The 17,791-nt window shown below is 39.7% G+C and overlaps 1 protein-coding gene across 3 annotated transcripts in view; it reads right to left on the bottom strand.

Moving 5' to 3' along the window:
- Positions 1-2,931: 2,931 nt before the first annotated feature.
- The window catches only part of ANKRD26 (ankyrin repeat domain containing 26), a 152,913-nt gene continuing 138,053 nt past the window's right edge, over positions 2,932-17,791 (bottom strand). Inside the window, exons 40-41 of one of the 3 annotated variants that reach the window (XM_047424821.1) lie at positions 6,688-6,772; positions 2,932-3,769 (exon numbers count right to left, since the gene is read on the bottom strand). The gene's annotated coding sequence lies outside the window, so the exon portion shown is untranslated. Of the gene's footprint in view, positions 11,474-17,791 lie in introns of all 3 variants that reach the window. The other 2 variants (XM_017015929.2, XM_017015928.2) reach the window with 2 other exon arrangements.

The raw sequence follows: 17,791 nt of genomic DNA on the forward strand, positions 1-17,791 counted from the left end.
CTGTATACCAATGTACCTCGCGCACTATCTGACATTCAAAGACCCACCTTGCCCCATCGCCTCTGATTTTTTTGGAAACTAGAAAAAAGACAAGGTTCGGCAGCTGTTTTCAGAAGAAAACATTGCCATGAGCTAAGATTACTCTATGATGTCAAGTCTTATTTCATATATCAATATATATTCATATTCATAATCCAAAACACACATATTCAATCAAATTAACAAGACTAACAGAGGAAATTTTCTAAAATTTATACACTACGGACATTACATTTTTCTAATGATCACTTTGATAGAGCAACTTAGATTCTATGGTTTCCACAAATGAAGAGGCTCATGGAAAAGAAAACTGCCACATAATACAAGATTTTCAATGTGATCATCATTGCTACTTTTAAGTAGCAATTACCCAGTAAATATATTGTGAACTGCTTTGTGAGTATGGTGATTTATTTAAACTTACTGACCCTTTGATTATCTTAAAAATATGAATAATGCCAATTGTATGGACTTGTTCTAAAAATTAAAGGAGAGAAAAATAATCCTTCTTCTCCATATATTGAACGATTACCAAATTAAAGGCATTGTGTCCAGGTTTTTACACACTTACCTTATTGAAGCCTCATCATAACCCCATCTTTTAAATTACAGGCATTATTCCCAGATTTTTACATACTAATCTTATGCAAGCTTCATAAGAATCCCATCTTTTAGAGATGAGCAAACTGAGGCTCAGAGGATTTAAAAACTCATTCACCATCACTTCATAATGAGTGATGGAACTGGGATTCAAATCCAGTTCTCTCTGACACCAAAGGTGGTGCACATTCAGGAACACCCAGTTATACCCCGCACATGGAGGGATCAAAACATGTGGATTCCCTTTCTCTACCCTCTTATGGGTAGAGAAACAATCCTAAGCTCCCTCCCTGGTTGCCTGTAGTGGACATCACTTCTTTCTGGGCATGATTAGAAATCTGCATCTTTGGACCACAAGCATCTATAAATAGTTGTTTTGATCAAGAAATAAAATTTTCTAGGCCACAGGTTGCTATCTGGGACTTTTCTAGCTTCTCTGCAGTTAAAAAAAGGGCTATTCCATGTAAAACAAACAAACAAACAAACAAACAAACAAAAAAAAAAACACAGGATCCACTGAATTTGTGCAGAAAGTTTCAGAACTATACGGCAGGAGCACCTCTAGAACTCAAGATATGAAATTGGGAGTCCCAATGGGGCTACTTAAGTTTAAATACAAGAGCTGTTGGACATTTCCTCTACAGCAATCAAATCTTACTTTTCATTTTGTATTTTGAAAACTTAGTTTTCAGCCAGCCTAGGAAAAGAAGAAGAGGGCCTCGAAGTGGGCATTTGGGCAGGGCAAGGGAAAGTAACCGGCTGGATGCAACAGGGAAAGAAGAAGGGGTGGGGAATCCAGTCAGAGCAAGTCCTCCTGCTTGGGGCCGGGGATAGGAAAGCGAACTGTCTCCTCCCTACCTTTGGGCGTCTTCTGGTAGCCAATGTGCTGTAAGTCACGGCTCCGGAATCAGGCTGGGCAGGTTTCAAATCAGTGGAATCTGGCACTTCTCCCACCTCCAACTAGTGGATCTCAGAGCTGCAGGACTGCTCCCAACACTGCACCCAGTGTTGGCCCAGCTTGGGGCTGGCATTGGGGGACAGCGTGTTCCGGGCGCCTCTGCTCCTCTGTGCTGGGGCCTGCGCCTTTGCTGGCTGCCCACTCATAGATGTCAGAGCCGCAGAACGGCTCCGCAGAAGCCCTGCGCAGGCCCTGCCTGGGGCTGGCTTTGGTGCACATGTGACAAGTCATCGTGGTCCCCATGGGGCAACTCTGCTCTTCTCCGGCAGCTTGGGCCTTCGCTTGCCCCCACGACTGCAGAGTAGAGCACCTGCCACCTCTCCCCAGGAAAGGCAACCGAATGCCACCAACTGAAGGCACCCACTGAAGGCACTAACCGAAGGCCGGTTGCCCTGCCAACCCTGTCGCGTCCTGCTTAGGACGAACCAATCAGGCCTTGAGTTCCCTCCACGCGCCGCCTTTCCATTTGTAATGTGCGAGTCCAGGCACTGGCAGACAAGGCTCCGCCCCCAAAGCTCCCCTGCCCCACCTTTCATTCATTGATAGCTTCGAGCAATTTTCAGGTTTCCTCATTACGAATTATGACTATGAATTATTTTACAATTACTGTAACCCAATGTGCTTCGTGCACTCTCTGGCATCCAAAGGATCCTCTTTCGCCCATGGCTTGTGAGGATTTTCGAAACTGGAAAGAAGACTGATTACTGCAGTTGCTTAAAAAAAAAAACTTTGCCATGAGTTAAGTCTACTCTGTGATGTTAACATAAATGTATCATATATTTATGTATATGTATATGCACACACACACATGCACTCAATAATTATATATTCAATTTATGTTTTTGAAAATAGCACACATATTCAAACTAGTAAGTATAATAGGGAAATTTCCTAAAACTTTTACACTAAGTACCTCATTTTTTAAAATGATTTCGTTGATAGAGCAGCTTTCTAGATGCAGCCCTGTTCACATGTGACTGGTATTTACCTTCTTTCATCAAACATATCTTTAGAATCGACTCAAGGCAAGACGCGGTAGAAAAATGTAAGAATCAATTAGAGGAGCCATTTAACTAGTAGGTGAGACTGATAGGCATACAAGCAACTTCAATAAAAAGATATGTATTGAACGTACCTGGGGATAAGTACTAAGATGGGCTTCAAAAGCCCCGTATTCATGAAGATGCAATCTTTATATTTAAAATACTAGTGATACAATAAAATGTTCTACTTGATCTCTCACCTTTAATTTCATGGTATTATCATCCACCCTCTCTATTCTAACTAAATATTTCCTTCATAATCCCCAAGAAATAGCAAAACCACGGAAAACAAACATTTCAATCTTTGATTTATTGTTGAAAGAAGTGTGTCGTTGGTGCCTCAGTTTATTATCATAGAGCCAAATTCTCAGTGAGGAAGCGGCATGAGCTGGAATTCATGCCCTTCATTTGGAAAGATTGCAAATCATTGACCTTCTTTTTTTTGCTAAATATGTTAGAAAATTAGAATTCTCTTAATGCAGTAAAGGGATCTTAAAATGATGGGATATATGTGTACTCTCCGTGACAGTGTACATATTCCTTCTCTTAGTTTAGTATAAAAATAATACTTAAGGAACTTCTGTGCAATAATAACAATTCTAAGTAAGAAGTAGAGTTGAGATTTTTCATAAAACAAAATGTATGAACTTTTATTGCTGTTTGTTCGATATGAGACAATCTAGCTTTGTTGCCCAGGCTGGAGTATAGTGTCGTGATCTCGGCTCACTGCGTCCTCCACATTCAGTTTCAAGCCATTCTCCTGCATCAAATTCCCAAGTAGCTGGGAGTCCAGGCAGACGCCTCCATGCCCAGCTAATTTTTGCGTTTTTAATACAGACAAGGTTTCACAATGTTTGCCAGGCTGGTCTTCAACTCCTGACCTCCAGTGATCTGCCTGCTTCTGCTTCCCAAAGTAGAAACATTTTTAAACATTTAAAATTGACCTTGCCTTTTAGAAATGTAGAAATTCATCAGGGTCCTGGGTAATTATAATCAACATTTATCTGCCCACGTTATTTACCAGGTACATCTTCTCCAGCAAGTTCTTCGGCATCCTTTCGAGAAGCATTCAATAGCCAAGAAAGCAGGCTAAGACTCACCTACTCCTTCTTGGGCTAAAGATCTCAGACTTCATTCGGGAAAAATAATTAAAGAATTATTCTATCACTATACACAACATAGAATAATCTGTTTAACAAATTATTTTTGATCATCCACATTTTGATGCCAATCCCTCATTTGGTAATAATGATTATATACGTGAATATTTTGAGCCAATTAAATTGGAACATATTCTTTGAAATATCTTTATGATCATTTTTGTTCTATTCAGTAGGTTTAATGGAATAATAAGGTGTTTTTGATAAACCACATGAGTTATTCTCAATGGTTACAAGATCTTATGACAGTTGTAATCAAAAGTGTGCTGGCTCACGCCTGTAATCCCAGCACTTTGGGAGGACGAGGTGGGTGGATCACCTAAGGTCAGAAGTTCAAGACTAGCCTGGCCAACATGGTGAAACCCTTTCTCTACTAAAAAGACCCCCCAAAAAAATTAGCTGGGCGTGGTGGTGGTTGCCTGTAATCCCAGCTACTTGGGAGGCTGAGGCAGGAGAATCGCTTGAACCCGGGAGGCGGAGGTTGCAGTGAGCCGAAATCTCACCATTGCACTCCAGCCTGGGCAACAAGAGTGAAACGCCATCTAAAAAAAATGCATTATTAAATACTGATCTAGTATTTACTGTAAATTCAGCACTTTGGGGCATATCAGTGGGTATTTAGTTTTATTATGCTCCTAGAGTTTTTTATTCTATTATAGAATTTTCAAACATTTACTAAGGTACAGAAAATTTTAATGGTTTAATGAACCTAATTTACCATTTAATCAGCTTACTAGTGATTAATACCTTGCCAATTTTGCTTCACCTACACCTCCACACCCTTCCCCCATATTCCTCATTGTTGCCTTAATTGAAGTATGATATACATGTCCTCATTTTTTTGGAAAATACAGACATTGTTTCATTTCCTCTACAAATATTTGTGTTTGCATCTCTAAATATTAATGACTTAAAATACAAACAGTCCATGACATCATATGACCTTGAGACAAATTAGTAGTAACTCCTAATGTATCACATTATTCAGTTTTCAAGATTTTCCTATTTTCTTATAATTATCATCATTATCTTATAGTTATATTAATTAATTTATTTATTAATTTATTTATTTTTGACCAGTGTCTCACTCTGTCGCCCAGGCTGGAGTGCAGTGGCGAGATTTCGGCTTAATGCAGTTTCCACCTTCTGGGTTCAAGCAATTCTCTGCCTCAGCCTCCCAAGTAGCTGGGATTACAGGTGCCTGCCACCACGCCTGGCTAATTTTTGTATTTTTAGTAGAGATGGGCTTTCACCATCGTGGCCAGGCTGGCCTTGAACTCCTGACCTCGTGATCCACCCTCCTCGACCTCCCAAAGTGCTGGGATTACAGGTGTGACCCACCGTGCCCAGCCTCTTATAGTTATTTTAATTGGGATCTGAATAAGGAGTATACATTAAAATTAGATGATAATATGTCTTAAGCTTCCTTTGATATCTTTGAGTTTATCACCTACTTATGTCACCTACACCTTTTTTCACTTACAATCTATTGGTTCCTTTAGTTATGATTGAAAAAACCAGATTATTTATCCTGTGGTATTTCAGCATTCTGCATTTTTCTGATTGCATTCTATGGTATTATTTATTGAACCTGTGATACAGTTTGGACGTCCCCTCCAAATCTCATTGATATGGTTTGGCTCTATGTCCCCACCCAGATCTCATCTTGAATTATGACCCCCATGTGTGGATGCAGGGACTTGTGGGGAGGTGATTGGATCATGGGAGCAGTTTTCCCATGCTGTTCTTGTGATAGTGAGAGAGTTCTCATGACATATGGTAGTTTAATAATTGTCTGGCATTTCCTCTTTGCTCTCTCTCTCTCCTGCTGCCATGTAAGATGTGCTTTGCTTCTCCTTCACCCTCTGTGATGATTGTAAGTTTCCTGAGGCCTCCAGAGCCATGCATAACTGTGAGTCAATTAAACCTTCCTTTATAAATTATCCAGTCTCAGGTAGTTTCTTTATAGCAGTGTGAAAACGTACTAATATACTCATGTTGAGGTGTAATCCCCAATGTTGGAGGTGGGGTCTTGTGGGAGGTGTTTGGGTCATGGGGACAGATTCCTCATAACTTGGTGCTGTCCCACTGATAATGAGTGAGTTCTCAGGAGATCTGTTGTTTAAAAGTGTGTGGCACCTCCTCTGCTTGCTCTCTTGCTCCCAGTCTCTCCATGTGAGAAGCCTGCTCCCACTTTGCCTTTTCCCATGAATGGAAGCCTCCTGAGGCCTCCCCAAAAGCTGAGCAGATGCCAGCACCATGCTTCCAGTAAAGCCTGCAGACCTGTGAGCCAGTTAAACCTTTTTTCTTTATAAATGACCCAGTCTCAGGTATTTCTTTATAGCAACAGAAAAGCAACCTAACACAACACGTGTCTGTGCCTCCTGTATTTCTGTAAATATAGAGCTTCAGTCTGATTCAGAATTGATTTATTTGTCAAAAATAATTGAAATACCAAGAATACAACTGCCTCAGTGAATGGCCACTATTTCTTCTATAACTACATTTATGTTCCATTTGATTTTCACTTTGTATTATCCCTTTTCTTTTTTCTTTTCTTTTCTTTTTCTTTTTTTTTTTTTTTTTTGCAGTTTCATGTTTGTTGACCACTTCCCTCTTTGGTTATTCATTTTTGTAAAATGTCATGTGGGCTTCTCCCTGGGAGACAAGGAGGCAAGACAGTGACATGCTTTGCTCTCTGTATAAACTCAGTAACAAATATGCAGTGATTGACAACCTCATACTTTGAAAGAAATGATGGGTCACTGATCATGATTGCTTCTGTTATTTATGTTGTGATTTGTGGACTGAAGAGCTCACACAAAGTTTGTACTTTGTGTAATCACTCACAGTTGAACTGAATTTGGAACCATGTTGGGGTACTTACGTTATTTAATTAAATCATGGTTATTGAAATTAGGTGGAGCAGTGATGATCTGTGCCTCTTTTTTTCCTGATGTTTTCTTTTATACCTGCAATAAATATTTACAATTTTCCTTATATAGATTTGAAATTTTCTAGCAATTCTAAAAATATTTTAGTTCTTGTTGCTCTTGTGACTCACCTTTTATACTACATTTTATAAATGAGCTTCACTGATATATAGTACACAGGACAGTTTTTAGTTTCTATACTTAATAGCTTTTAATGGATTGTTTGACTTTGTTTTAAAATTTTAAGTAGATACATCGCCTGAGAATTTAAAAGTCTGTCTTTTCCATTCATATATTTGTTTATCTTAGTGGTTTTGCTGTTGTATGCATTGGCTAGAGACTCCAGGATAATGTTGGATAATGTTGAATAATATTAATTATAATACTGACTTTAACGGTGTATTAGTCATATCTCTTATTTTCTAAATTTGATGCTTTGACATTTGGGCCTTGTTGACCCTGGAGGGACTGCCCCTCTCAGGATAAGCTAATTGCTGGATGTAATAAACAACTTGCCTGCATGCATGACTTTCCTACTATAACCCAACCAACCCAGAGTTTATACCCCCTTCTTTCTCATCTCTTCATCACTCTTTATTCTTCTTTATCTCTGTTTATCTCTTTTGCAGTCTTAATGTTCCTTATCACTCTCACAATTCTGGCCACTATTCTACTTCCCTAATTTCTTCAGGGCCAGATAGCAGCCTCTTCTTTCCAGGAGCCAATGAAATTATTCAAACTAGCCAATGCTAAGCCTGATTGACCTGACTTGCTTGTCCCGTCCCATGGAACTGCAATAAAGCCTCTTTCCCACGTTTTCCCCCATTGACGCTGCCTCCTGACTGACCTTGATGTTTCCCTGTCCTTCTGCTTGTGGTGTGCTGTGCCCACAGCTTCTAGGGAACTGTGAGTAGAAAAATAAACTACTTCCCTCATGACAGTCATTTCTGTGTTTGTGTGTCTTGCCATTACTGATTAAAACAAATCCTGGGTTTTATGAATGCAAATGACATTTCTGTTCATGCTTTATTGTTAAATATGCCCTTTGCTGTAGGTTTTGGGCACCTTTTATCAAGGTTTTGGGCACCTTGATGTTGAATTTCATCAAGAGCCTTTTTGACATTTATTGAAATAATTATTTGTTTTTTTCTTCTATGAGATTTTCCAATAAAACTGATACTGATTGAACAATAGCCAAGCTTGCGCCACTGCACACCAGCATAGGCGACAAAGCGAGACTCTCTCTTAAAAAATAATAATAAAATAAAACAAAGATGCTGTAGTATTGCAAGGCTAAGTAGGGACAGCAGATGAAGTTCCTCAAGACTTCCAACATTACTGTATAGCTAAACTCTTGAGAAAAAACAGTAACCTACCAATTGGACATACGGCATTCACAAGTAGTTCTTTTGACCCAACTAGGCCAAGCATGAGTTGAGGAAGTTAAAAACATTATCTGAGTTATGCTGGTAACTGCTAAAGAACAGACTTCTCTTGTGCAGTCTGAAGACATCTTTGGTCTATTTTGCTGCCCTTAGACAAACGAAAAGAGCCAATACAGATGGATCAAAATGGCCTATGTGTAACTGAAAGTGACCAAGGCTGTTGTATTGATGTCAGAGTGTTAGCTACCCTCGAAGACATTTTCTTCCAATATTGATTATACCGTTTAAAACATAATATTGATTATACTGTTTAAAACATAATATCTACAATAAGACCAGGTTTTATAGCCAAAGAGATTGTAAATATAATACCAGGCCAGACAGAGTGGGTCATGCCTGTAATCCCAGCAATTTGGGAGGCTGAGGTGGGAGGTTCATTTGAGGCCGGGATATCGAGACCAGCCTAGGCAACATAAGCAAGACCCTGTCTCTACAAAAAATAAAATTAGCCAGGCGTGGTGGTGTGTGCCTGTAACCCTAGCTACTCAGGAGGCTGAGGCAGGGATGTTTGCTTGAGCCCAGAAGTTCGAGAGTTCGAGGCTGCAGTGAGTTGCGATCGTGCCACTGCTCTCCAGTGTGGATGAAAGAGTGGGACACTGTCTCCAAATAAATAAATAAATAATCCTATGTATTACTGTGTCTTGGTTTACAGTACTGTGTGAAACATCTCATCCTGATGTTACTAGATAAATGATCAATGAATTATCCAAATTATCTTACTCTGGTAAGCACATTTATTGGGAGAAAAGGTTCAAACATTTGCAGTGAAAGGTTAGTTTCACTAATCTTTATTTTTGTTGTTAGTTTTTGTGAATTTCATAGTCTTATGCAACACTGAATTCTAAAGAATTTAATTTTGCCAGTACTGATTTTCCTGAGATCTTAAGAGAAGGGGTTAGTATGCTTTTGGAATTTTCTCTGGGGTTTTTAGTCTATGACTTATTAGCTTGTTAAAGCATCACATGGGTGAGGGTTTAATATGCCTGAAATAGCCTTTTTTGTTCCATGGCTGGTGATCACATGTATTGCCCAGCAGCTATCTTGCTGGGACGTGCATCAAGCAGTACAAAATTATAACTACTAATGGAACGTGATATGCTGCTCCTGCCCTACCAATGTGAGAGCATCATAAGGGAGATTGAGTCAATCATATAATCTAGTTAATTCCACACAGAGGCTCTCCTACAAAACAAGAAAATACACTGTTGGTTCTTTCACTTATATTGTCTGGTTTTCTGGCGTGAATGTTAAAATCTGCCACTTTTTGATTGACTACACAGTTATTCCCCCAGGATGCTACCTTGTAATACATCATGGTCTTAAGTGGACATATAAAGGGTGAAATGTGGCCCATATTAGCCAATTTTTATTATTCATTTCAGGAAGTTAGAAAATTGCTGTTGTAACTGATATTTAATTCACTTAAGCCTGGGTGGAATAAATTGGCATTACTCCAGACAGGGAGCAAATTGTCCTAATGCTACCTTTCTCCAGTGATTTGAAATGTCATTTTCACTATACAGGAAATTCTTTTATAGCTTTGGGTTGTTTCTGTGCTTTTTATTGAGATCCATTGATCTTTGCATCTATTTTTAAGACAGTAATATTTTTAGTTATTGTATTCTTTTAACATAAGCAAACTTGTTTCTCTTGCTTAAAAAAACTTACCTGTTTATTTTTTCAGATTTGTACACTAAGATTGTCTATTTCTTAAAAAAAAAATCCTGCTAGCGTATTAATTGGATTTCTATTATGTTTATTAAATAATTTGGTGATACACTTTGACAATAAATCTGTATCCAGAAACAGGTTTTCTTGTCCCTTAGTCTTATAGTTGTATTAATACACCTACTCTCTTCTATTTGTTTTTGTTTTAATTGCTTTGGATTGGAAAAACAGATTACGAGTTTAGGTATTGTTTATAAAATAAGAGTAGATATGTTCTGAGAATCTAAAGCATGTTCAAAGCTTTCTTTTCCTCTACAGCTTTTAAAATATGGTACATGTGTTTTAGTGTATGGACTTTATGAAACATAGTTTGTCTCTGCAGAGGCAATTTCTAAACTTTTAGCTTTGTGGGCGGGCAGCTATCAAATGCGGGATCTATAGCAGTTTTGTGCATCTAGTAAGCCATGTATTGCCTGGTCTTAAAGTTATTTATGTCTCTTGTCCATCTGTTTCCTTTAGCTAATTGTGTTTCCAAAGGGCAGAATGCATGTGATTGTGTGCCTGATGGATTTTGGTTCCATTGAATTAACTAGTACTATACTTGTAATTCTATAATGCAGCTCACCTCCATTTAAAAATATATATTTTGGGGTTGGGCGCAGTAGCTCATGCCCATAATCCCAGCACTTTGGGAGGCCGAGGTGAGCAGATCACCTGAGGTCAGGAGTTTGAGACCAGCCTGACCAACATGGTGAAACCCCATCTCTACTAAAAGTACAAAATTAGCCGGTCGTGGTGGCACATGCCTGTAATCCCAGCTACTTGGGAGGCTGAGGCAGGATAATGGCTTGAACCTAGGAGGCGGAGGTTGCAGTGAGCCGAGATCGCACCATTGCACTCTAGCCTGTGCAACAAGAGAGAAACTCCATCTCAAAAAAAAAAATATATATATATGTGTGTATGTATATATGTACATATATGTGTATATATGTGTGTGTATATATATATATGTGTATAAATATGTTCCAATCCAATTTGCCTTCCATGAGTGAGAAGATCTTTGAAGACAGGGTATGTGTCTTCCTGTATTAAACTTTTTCCATTTCCTAGCCTCTTGAACAGTTCCATGTACTGTCCTAAATGAATGTTGGCTAGATCGTGTTGAAATGGCAAAGTAGCCTTTAAATAACAAAGCATAAAGAAAATAGTGACTTGAGTTTCTTGAAGAACCATACACTTTCTAAGGGATATTAGTCCTGTGTATGCAACAAGTGAGAACATTAAGAAGGCTGTTTTATTTTATCAGCTGTGGTTCCTGTTGATCCTGTGGAAGAAAATTATGTTCATAAAGTGGAAACTGTATTTTTTTCAATCTCCTTCCCAACTCCTTTCAAATCAAGAGTACGTCTTGTAGCAGTTTCAAAGGTTAGGCAATATTTTTTCATAACACAAATACTTAACTCACTAAAATATTTGTTTAAAATAATTTTTTAAAGTTAATATTATTAGTCTAATTATAAATGACTATCTGTGTTTAAAATTCAAATATTTAGAGATGTCATTCTTAGAAATCACACTTTGATACTTACTCAGTTTCATCTTAAAGTGGTCTTACAAGGAAAATATGCTTTTGTGAAAAAGAAGAAAATGAGTTAAATTGTTATCTTACATATCCTTTATCTAATGGTTTAGAACAATAAATTCTAAATTGTTCTCTCATGATATAAATGAATTTGGGCTAAAAATAGGATATTTACTTTTTTCTATTTCCTTAAATGAATTTGTGCTAGGAAAAACATTGTTTTACCATATGTCATAAGAAAGCCATAAAAATTTCTGAACCATCTAATAAGAACTAATTTTTCCCAAATAGCATAAACATAGAAAGTATGGTACATCTCTTATGAAAAAATATTAATAATATATTTTCAGAAGAGGTTTATTCTTTGAATTTTCTTCCATTAAGTCTCTATTTTTAAAAATTATTAGGCCAGGCACAGTAGCTCACTTCTGTAATCGTAGCACTTTGGGAGGCCAAAGTAGGAGGATCACTTGAGCCCAGAAGGTTAAGGCTGCAGTGAGCCATGATTGTGCCTCTGCACTCCAGCCTGGGTGACTGAGTGAGCTTGTGTCTCAAAAAAAAAAAAGTACTGAAAGAAGACTTAGGTTTGTAAATTTGTTTTTCCTGCCTCAGGAAGTTCTAGAAGATATTTTGGACCTTGATTTATCAAGGTCCCTTTACCAAGATCCATTCCACTGGCTCACCGATATGGAGGCCACCAGGTAAGAGTAGCAACAGTACCATTTCCCTTATGCAAATAGAATTATTTGATGGAAATGCTGTCCTACTAAAGAAATTATTTTGCATTAGTTTTTAAAATAGTGCATTGGGAGTTCAACAAGGTGTGTCTAAAGGAATATGTCATCAGAAGATGTTTATAGATTAGCTGATGTGATTTCTTGCTGTGCTAAAGCTAGAACCTAATACTTTGAATGACATTGAGAATACTGGAGCAGCAAAAACAGAAAATTTCTGTGGGTTATTGCTAGAGAACTCATTCAGTGCACTTTTGGCAAGAGATTTTGGCAAAATGAAGCAGTACAACATGTCAGTATAAAAGGACAAATAAGCCAGGTGCGGTGGCTCACGCCTATAATCCCAGCATTTTGTGAGGCAGAGGCAGGCAGATAGCTTGAGACTAGGAGTTCAAGACCAGCCTGGGCAACATGGCTGTACAAAAATTAGCCAGGCATAGTGATGTGTGCCTGTGGTCCCAGCCATTTGGGTGGCTAAAGCAGGAGGATCTCTTGAACCTCGGAGGCAGAGGTTGCAGTGAGCCAAAGTTGGGCCACCACACTACAGCCTGGGTGACAGAGTGAGACCCTGTCTCAAAAAATAAATGAATAAAACAGACAAAAAGAAAGACGAATAGATTATAATTATATCAAGATAGCCATAGAACAAAGTTGTACAACTACTACAGTAGGAGTAAATCAAGATTCCTTGTAGGTGTTATATGGGCTGCAGAAATCAGGAAGCAATTAAGGCACATTCTGGAAATAAAGCAAGATGTTGAAACAAGTTCAGGGTATGGTATCTGACTAATTAAAAAAAGAAACGGAACATTGGACCAATCATTGAAATTTCTGTGACTTTCCTGTAAGCTAGATAAGATTAACACTCTCTGGTCGTTTGGGGGCTTTTTGGTTGAGGCTGGTTTGCTCAGGAACAATTTTTAAGACAAATAGTAAAGTATCATAGGGTTGGTGTAGGATTAGATTAGGAAATATATGAAAAGTGCTTAACATGTTAACTATTACAATTATTGTAACATCAGGTTCTGGTTTGCTGGGTTAGTTATTTCCTTTCTTCTTCAAAGTCCTGTAGGCTAAGAGGCAAAGTAATACAAGCCATTAGGAGGACTTTTAAGGGTCACCTGTGACAAACTTGAACACCAATTTCTTTTTCTTTTCATCTTTTAAGTTCAGGGGTACCGGTGCAGGATGTGTAGGTTTGCTACATAGGTAAATGTGTGCCATGGTGGTTTACTGCACAGATCATCCCATCACCCAGTTTTATATATATATATATATATTTATTTTTGAGACAGAGTGTTGCTCTGTCGCCAAGGCTGGAGTCCAGTGGCACCATCTCAGCTCACTGCAAACTCTGCCTCCTGGGTTCAAGTGATTCTCCTGTCTCAGCCTCTCAAGTAGGTGGGATTATAGGTGCGTGCCAGCATACCCAGCTAATTCTTTTTGTATTTTTAGTAGAGACTGGGTTTCACCATGTTGGCTAGCCTGGTTTCGAACTCCTGACCTCAAGTGATCTGCCTGCCTTGGCCTCCCAAACTGCTAGGGTTACAGGCATGAGCCACCGTGTTCAGCCCCGATCACCCAGTTATTAAGCCCAACATCCATTAGCTATTCTTGCTGATGCTCTCCCTCCCCTTAACCCCCTACAGGTGCCCAGTGTGTGTTGTTCCCCCCAGTGTGCCCATGTGTTCCCCCTGGCATGTCCATATGTTCTCAGACTAGCTCCATCTTATAACTGAGAAGGTGCGGTCTTTGGTTTTCTGTTCCTGTGTTAGTTTGCTGAAGATAATGGCTTCCAACTCCATCCATGTCCCTGCAAAGGACATGATCTTATTCCTTTTTATGGCTGCACAGTATTGCATGGTGTGTATACCACATTTTCTTTATTCAGTCTATCATTGATGGGTATTTCAGTTGATTCCATGACTCTCTATTGTAAACAGTGCTGCAATGAACATACACGTCTATGTCTCTTTACAACAGAATGATTTATATCCTTCTGGGTATATACCCAGTAATGGGATTGCTGGATCAAAAGGTATTTCTACCTCTGGTTCTTTGAGGAATCACCACACTGCCTTCCACAATAGTTGAAGTATTGACACTTTCACCAGCAGTGTAAAAGTGTTCCTTTTTCTCCAGCATCTGTTGTTTTTTGAGTGTTTAGTAATAGGCATTCTGATTGGCATGAGATGGTATCTCTTTGTGGTTTTGATTTGCATTTCTCTAATGATCAGTGATGTTGAGCTCTTTTTCATGTTTGTTGGCTGCATATGTCTTCTTTTGAGGAGTGTTGAAACTACTAAAAATACAAAAATTAGCCAGGTGTGGTGGCAGGCACCTATAGTCCCAGCTACTTGGGAGGCTGAGGCATGAGAATCACTTGAACCTGGAGGCGGAGGTTGCAGTGAGCCGAGGTCACGCCACTGCTCTCCAGCCTCGGTGACAGAGTGAGATTGTGTCTCAAAAAAAAAAAAAAAGAAAGAAAGAAAAAGAAACTACTTGGAGAGGCGAAATGAACGTAGTGAAAGTGGAGGTTATATACTCACAAAATGACAATATCAAAAGGAATTATTTGTACAAGAAAAGCCATGTGAACCCAGATTCAGGAGAGCTCATCTTAGGATGGGGAAATGGCAGAATCAGAAGTCCTTGATTATGAGAAAACTTTGTGATTTGACTTTCTACATAAGTAGATAAGTAGAACATCAGCTGGTAGAGAAAGTAAGCTAATTGGGCTATAACTATGAAGAGAGAAAGCAATATAAATTATTTGTTTAGGAAAGCTTCCGTTTTATGGAACAGTAGTAACCACATAATTCGAATGCACTTTTTTTTTTTTTTTTTAGTAGAGACGGGGTTTCACCAGGCTGGCCAGGCTAGTCTCGAACTCCTGACCTCAAGAGATCTGTCCTCCTCAGCTTCCCAAAGTGCTAGGATTACAGGCATGAGCCACTGGGCCTGACTTTGAATGCACTGTTGAGGTTCCTCCTGACAAACGTTTGTGGACAAAGGAAGCTGCAGTCCTATGCTTCCAATTTAATAGTTAACTTATAACTTAGTAAAGACTTAATTGATGCGTATATGTTTTATGGCTGATTAAAGATGACCACAAATTATTTGACACCTCTCCCATCAAGAGGTGGTGTCAGCCTATGCAGCATAGTGAGACCTCGTCTCTACAAAATGAAAAAAAAGAGTTAGCTGGAAGTGGAAGCACACGCCTGTGGTTTCAGCTACTCAAGAAGCTGAGACACGAGAATCACTTGAGCCCATGAGTTGGAGGCGACAGCACCATTGCACTCTAGCCTGGGGGACAGAGCAAGACCTTGTCTCCAAAAAAAAAAAGGGGGGGTAGTGTCTATTTTCCCTTCCATTGAATCTAGGCTAGCCCGTGATTGCCTGAAGCAAAAGAAGGTGGCAGAAATGACCCTGTGCCAGCTCTGGGAGCCTAGCTTTTAAGAGAACCGGCAGCTTTTGCCTTGGCTTCTTGGGGCCCTGAGCGAAGCATTAGCTTACCCTGCCGAAGGGCCACGTGGAGAGGCTCTGAGACTCCATGAAAAATAGACGGCCCCAGCTGAGCGCAGCCTTCCAGGTGTTCTGTGAAGGCACCAGGCTCATAAGAAGCATCTTGGCTCCTCCAGACCAGCCTAGCTGCCAGCTGAACACCACCCGACACCCAGTCCATATGACCACAGAACAGAAGACTCACCCAGCCAGGCTCTGCCCAAATTTCTGGCTCACTAAATCCTGACATATGATGAAATAGTCATTGTTTTAAACTACTAGACTTGCGGCTGTTCATTACAACATGTTGGTAACTGAAATATGCTAATTTATTACTCTTTTGATAATCTTTTAAAGGAGAGAACTGTTTTCTATTTTTCTCTTTCCATCTTATAAATACTATCCTATATTTACTTGAAATCTCAAATATGTAGAGATAACATTCACTTGAGTAACACTTGGCAGATTCTGTGAATACAAGGCTTGTGGGATTGATTCCATGTGGAAAGGAATTCTGAAGTTACCCTTCCTGCAGACAGGAACAACAGTGGGGGGTAGCCTCAATCCTATGACTTTCATCCTCTTTGCTAGGGCTTTAAATTAAGTATAAAATTTCTGGCTGGGCACAGTGGCTCATGCCTGTAATCCCAGCCCTTTGGGAGGCTGAGACGGGCAGATCACAAGGTCAGGAGATCCACACCATCCTGGCCAACATGGTGAAACCCTGTCTCTACAAAAAATACAAAAATTAGCTAGGTGTGGTGGTGCATGCCTGTAATCCCAGCTACTCAGGAGGCTGAGGCAGGAGAATCGCTTGAACCTGGGAGGCGGAGGTTGCAGTGAGCCGAGATCATACCACTGCACTCCAGCCTGGCAACAAAGCGAGAATCCATCTAAAAAAAAAAAAAAAATCCTAAGAAGACTTTCAACATGCAAGATCTTCAATCAAAAAGAAATATAATACTTAAAATTTGGTTTATTTGTCCCAACTATTCTATGCATAAAAATAAAAACTTAAAATAGAATAAAATAAAATTCTGTCCCCAACTTTGAATCAAAGGCAATTTTCCCAAAAGTAAGCATGACTTCCATAGAGCAAAGTGAGATATAAGCGTGGGATCCTATGTGACAGGACTCGCTGGGCTTGAATCCCAGCTCAGCCACTTGCTCAATGGGACCATCCTGGGTGAGTTACTTAATTGCTCTGTGTTTTACCTTCTTCGTGTATAAACTGGGGAGTATTGGCCAGGTGTGGCGGCACATGCTGTAATCCCAAAACTTTGGGATGCCAAAGCAGGAGGATTGCTTGAGCCCAGGAGTTCAAGAACAGCCTGGGCAATATAGTGAAACCTTGTCTCTACAATAAAAATAATAATAATAATAAAATGGGGACTATTAACATACCTATCTCAGAGGGTCTAGGGATTAAATTAGTTACTCCATGCAAAATGCTTCAAGCAGCACCTGGTAGGTGGAAACAACTCCATAACCATTGTTATCTCTAGGTGTGCAGCAGGACCCAGCAGTTAAGCACACAGTCTCTGGAACTGGAAGGCCTATGTTCAAATACATGCTGGTGAAGAATTGCCAATATATATTAAAGTGACAACAAAATATATGTGTATAACAAGAACCACGGGATTTTAGAGGAAGGAAAACACATTCTGAGGGGGAAAGTGGGAAGGGCTTCATTGAAGAGTTTTGAGGACTAACTTGGATCCCAACAGAAGATTTGGGCACTTGTGATATGGTGGATAGACAAGGGCTTTCCAGACAGAGGGGATGGCCCAGTCAAAGGCTCAGACCCTGGAATTAAAAGACATGTTTGGGCCAGGGGTGGTGGCTCATACCTGTAATCCCAGCTCTTTGGGAGGCTGAGACGGGAGGATCTCTTGAGCCCAGGAGCTTGAGATCAGTCTGGGCAACATAGTGAGATGCCCATCTCTACAAAAAATAAAATTTTTAATTAGCCACGCGGCCAGGTACAGCCCACGCCTGTAATTCCAGCACGTTGGGAGGCTGAGGCGGGCAGATCACCTGAGGTCAGGAGTTCAAGACCAGCGGGGCCAACATGGTGAAACCCTGTCTCTACTAAAAATACAAAAATTAGCCAGGCGTGGTG

This window comes from Homo sapiens, chromosome 10, assembly GCF_000001405.40.
Source record: "Homo sapiens chromosome 10, GRCh38.p14 Primary Assembly".
Taxonomy (NCBI): Eukaryota; Metazoa; Chordata; class Mammalia; order Primates; family Hominidae; genus Homo; species Homo sapiens.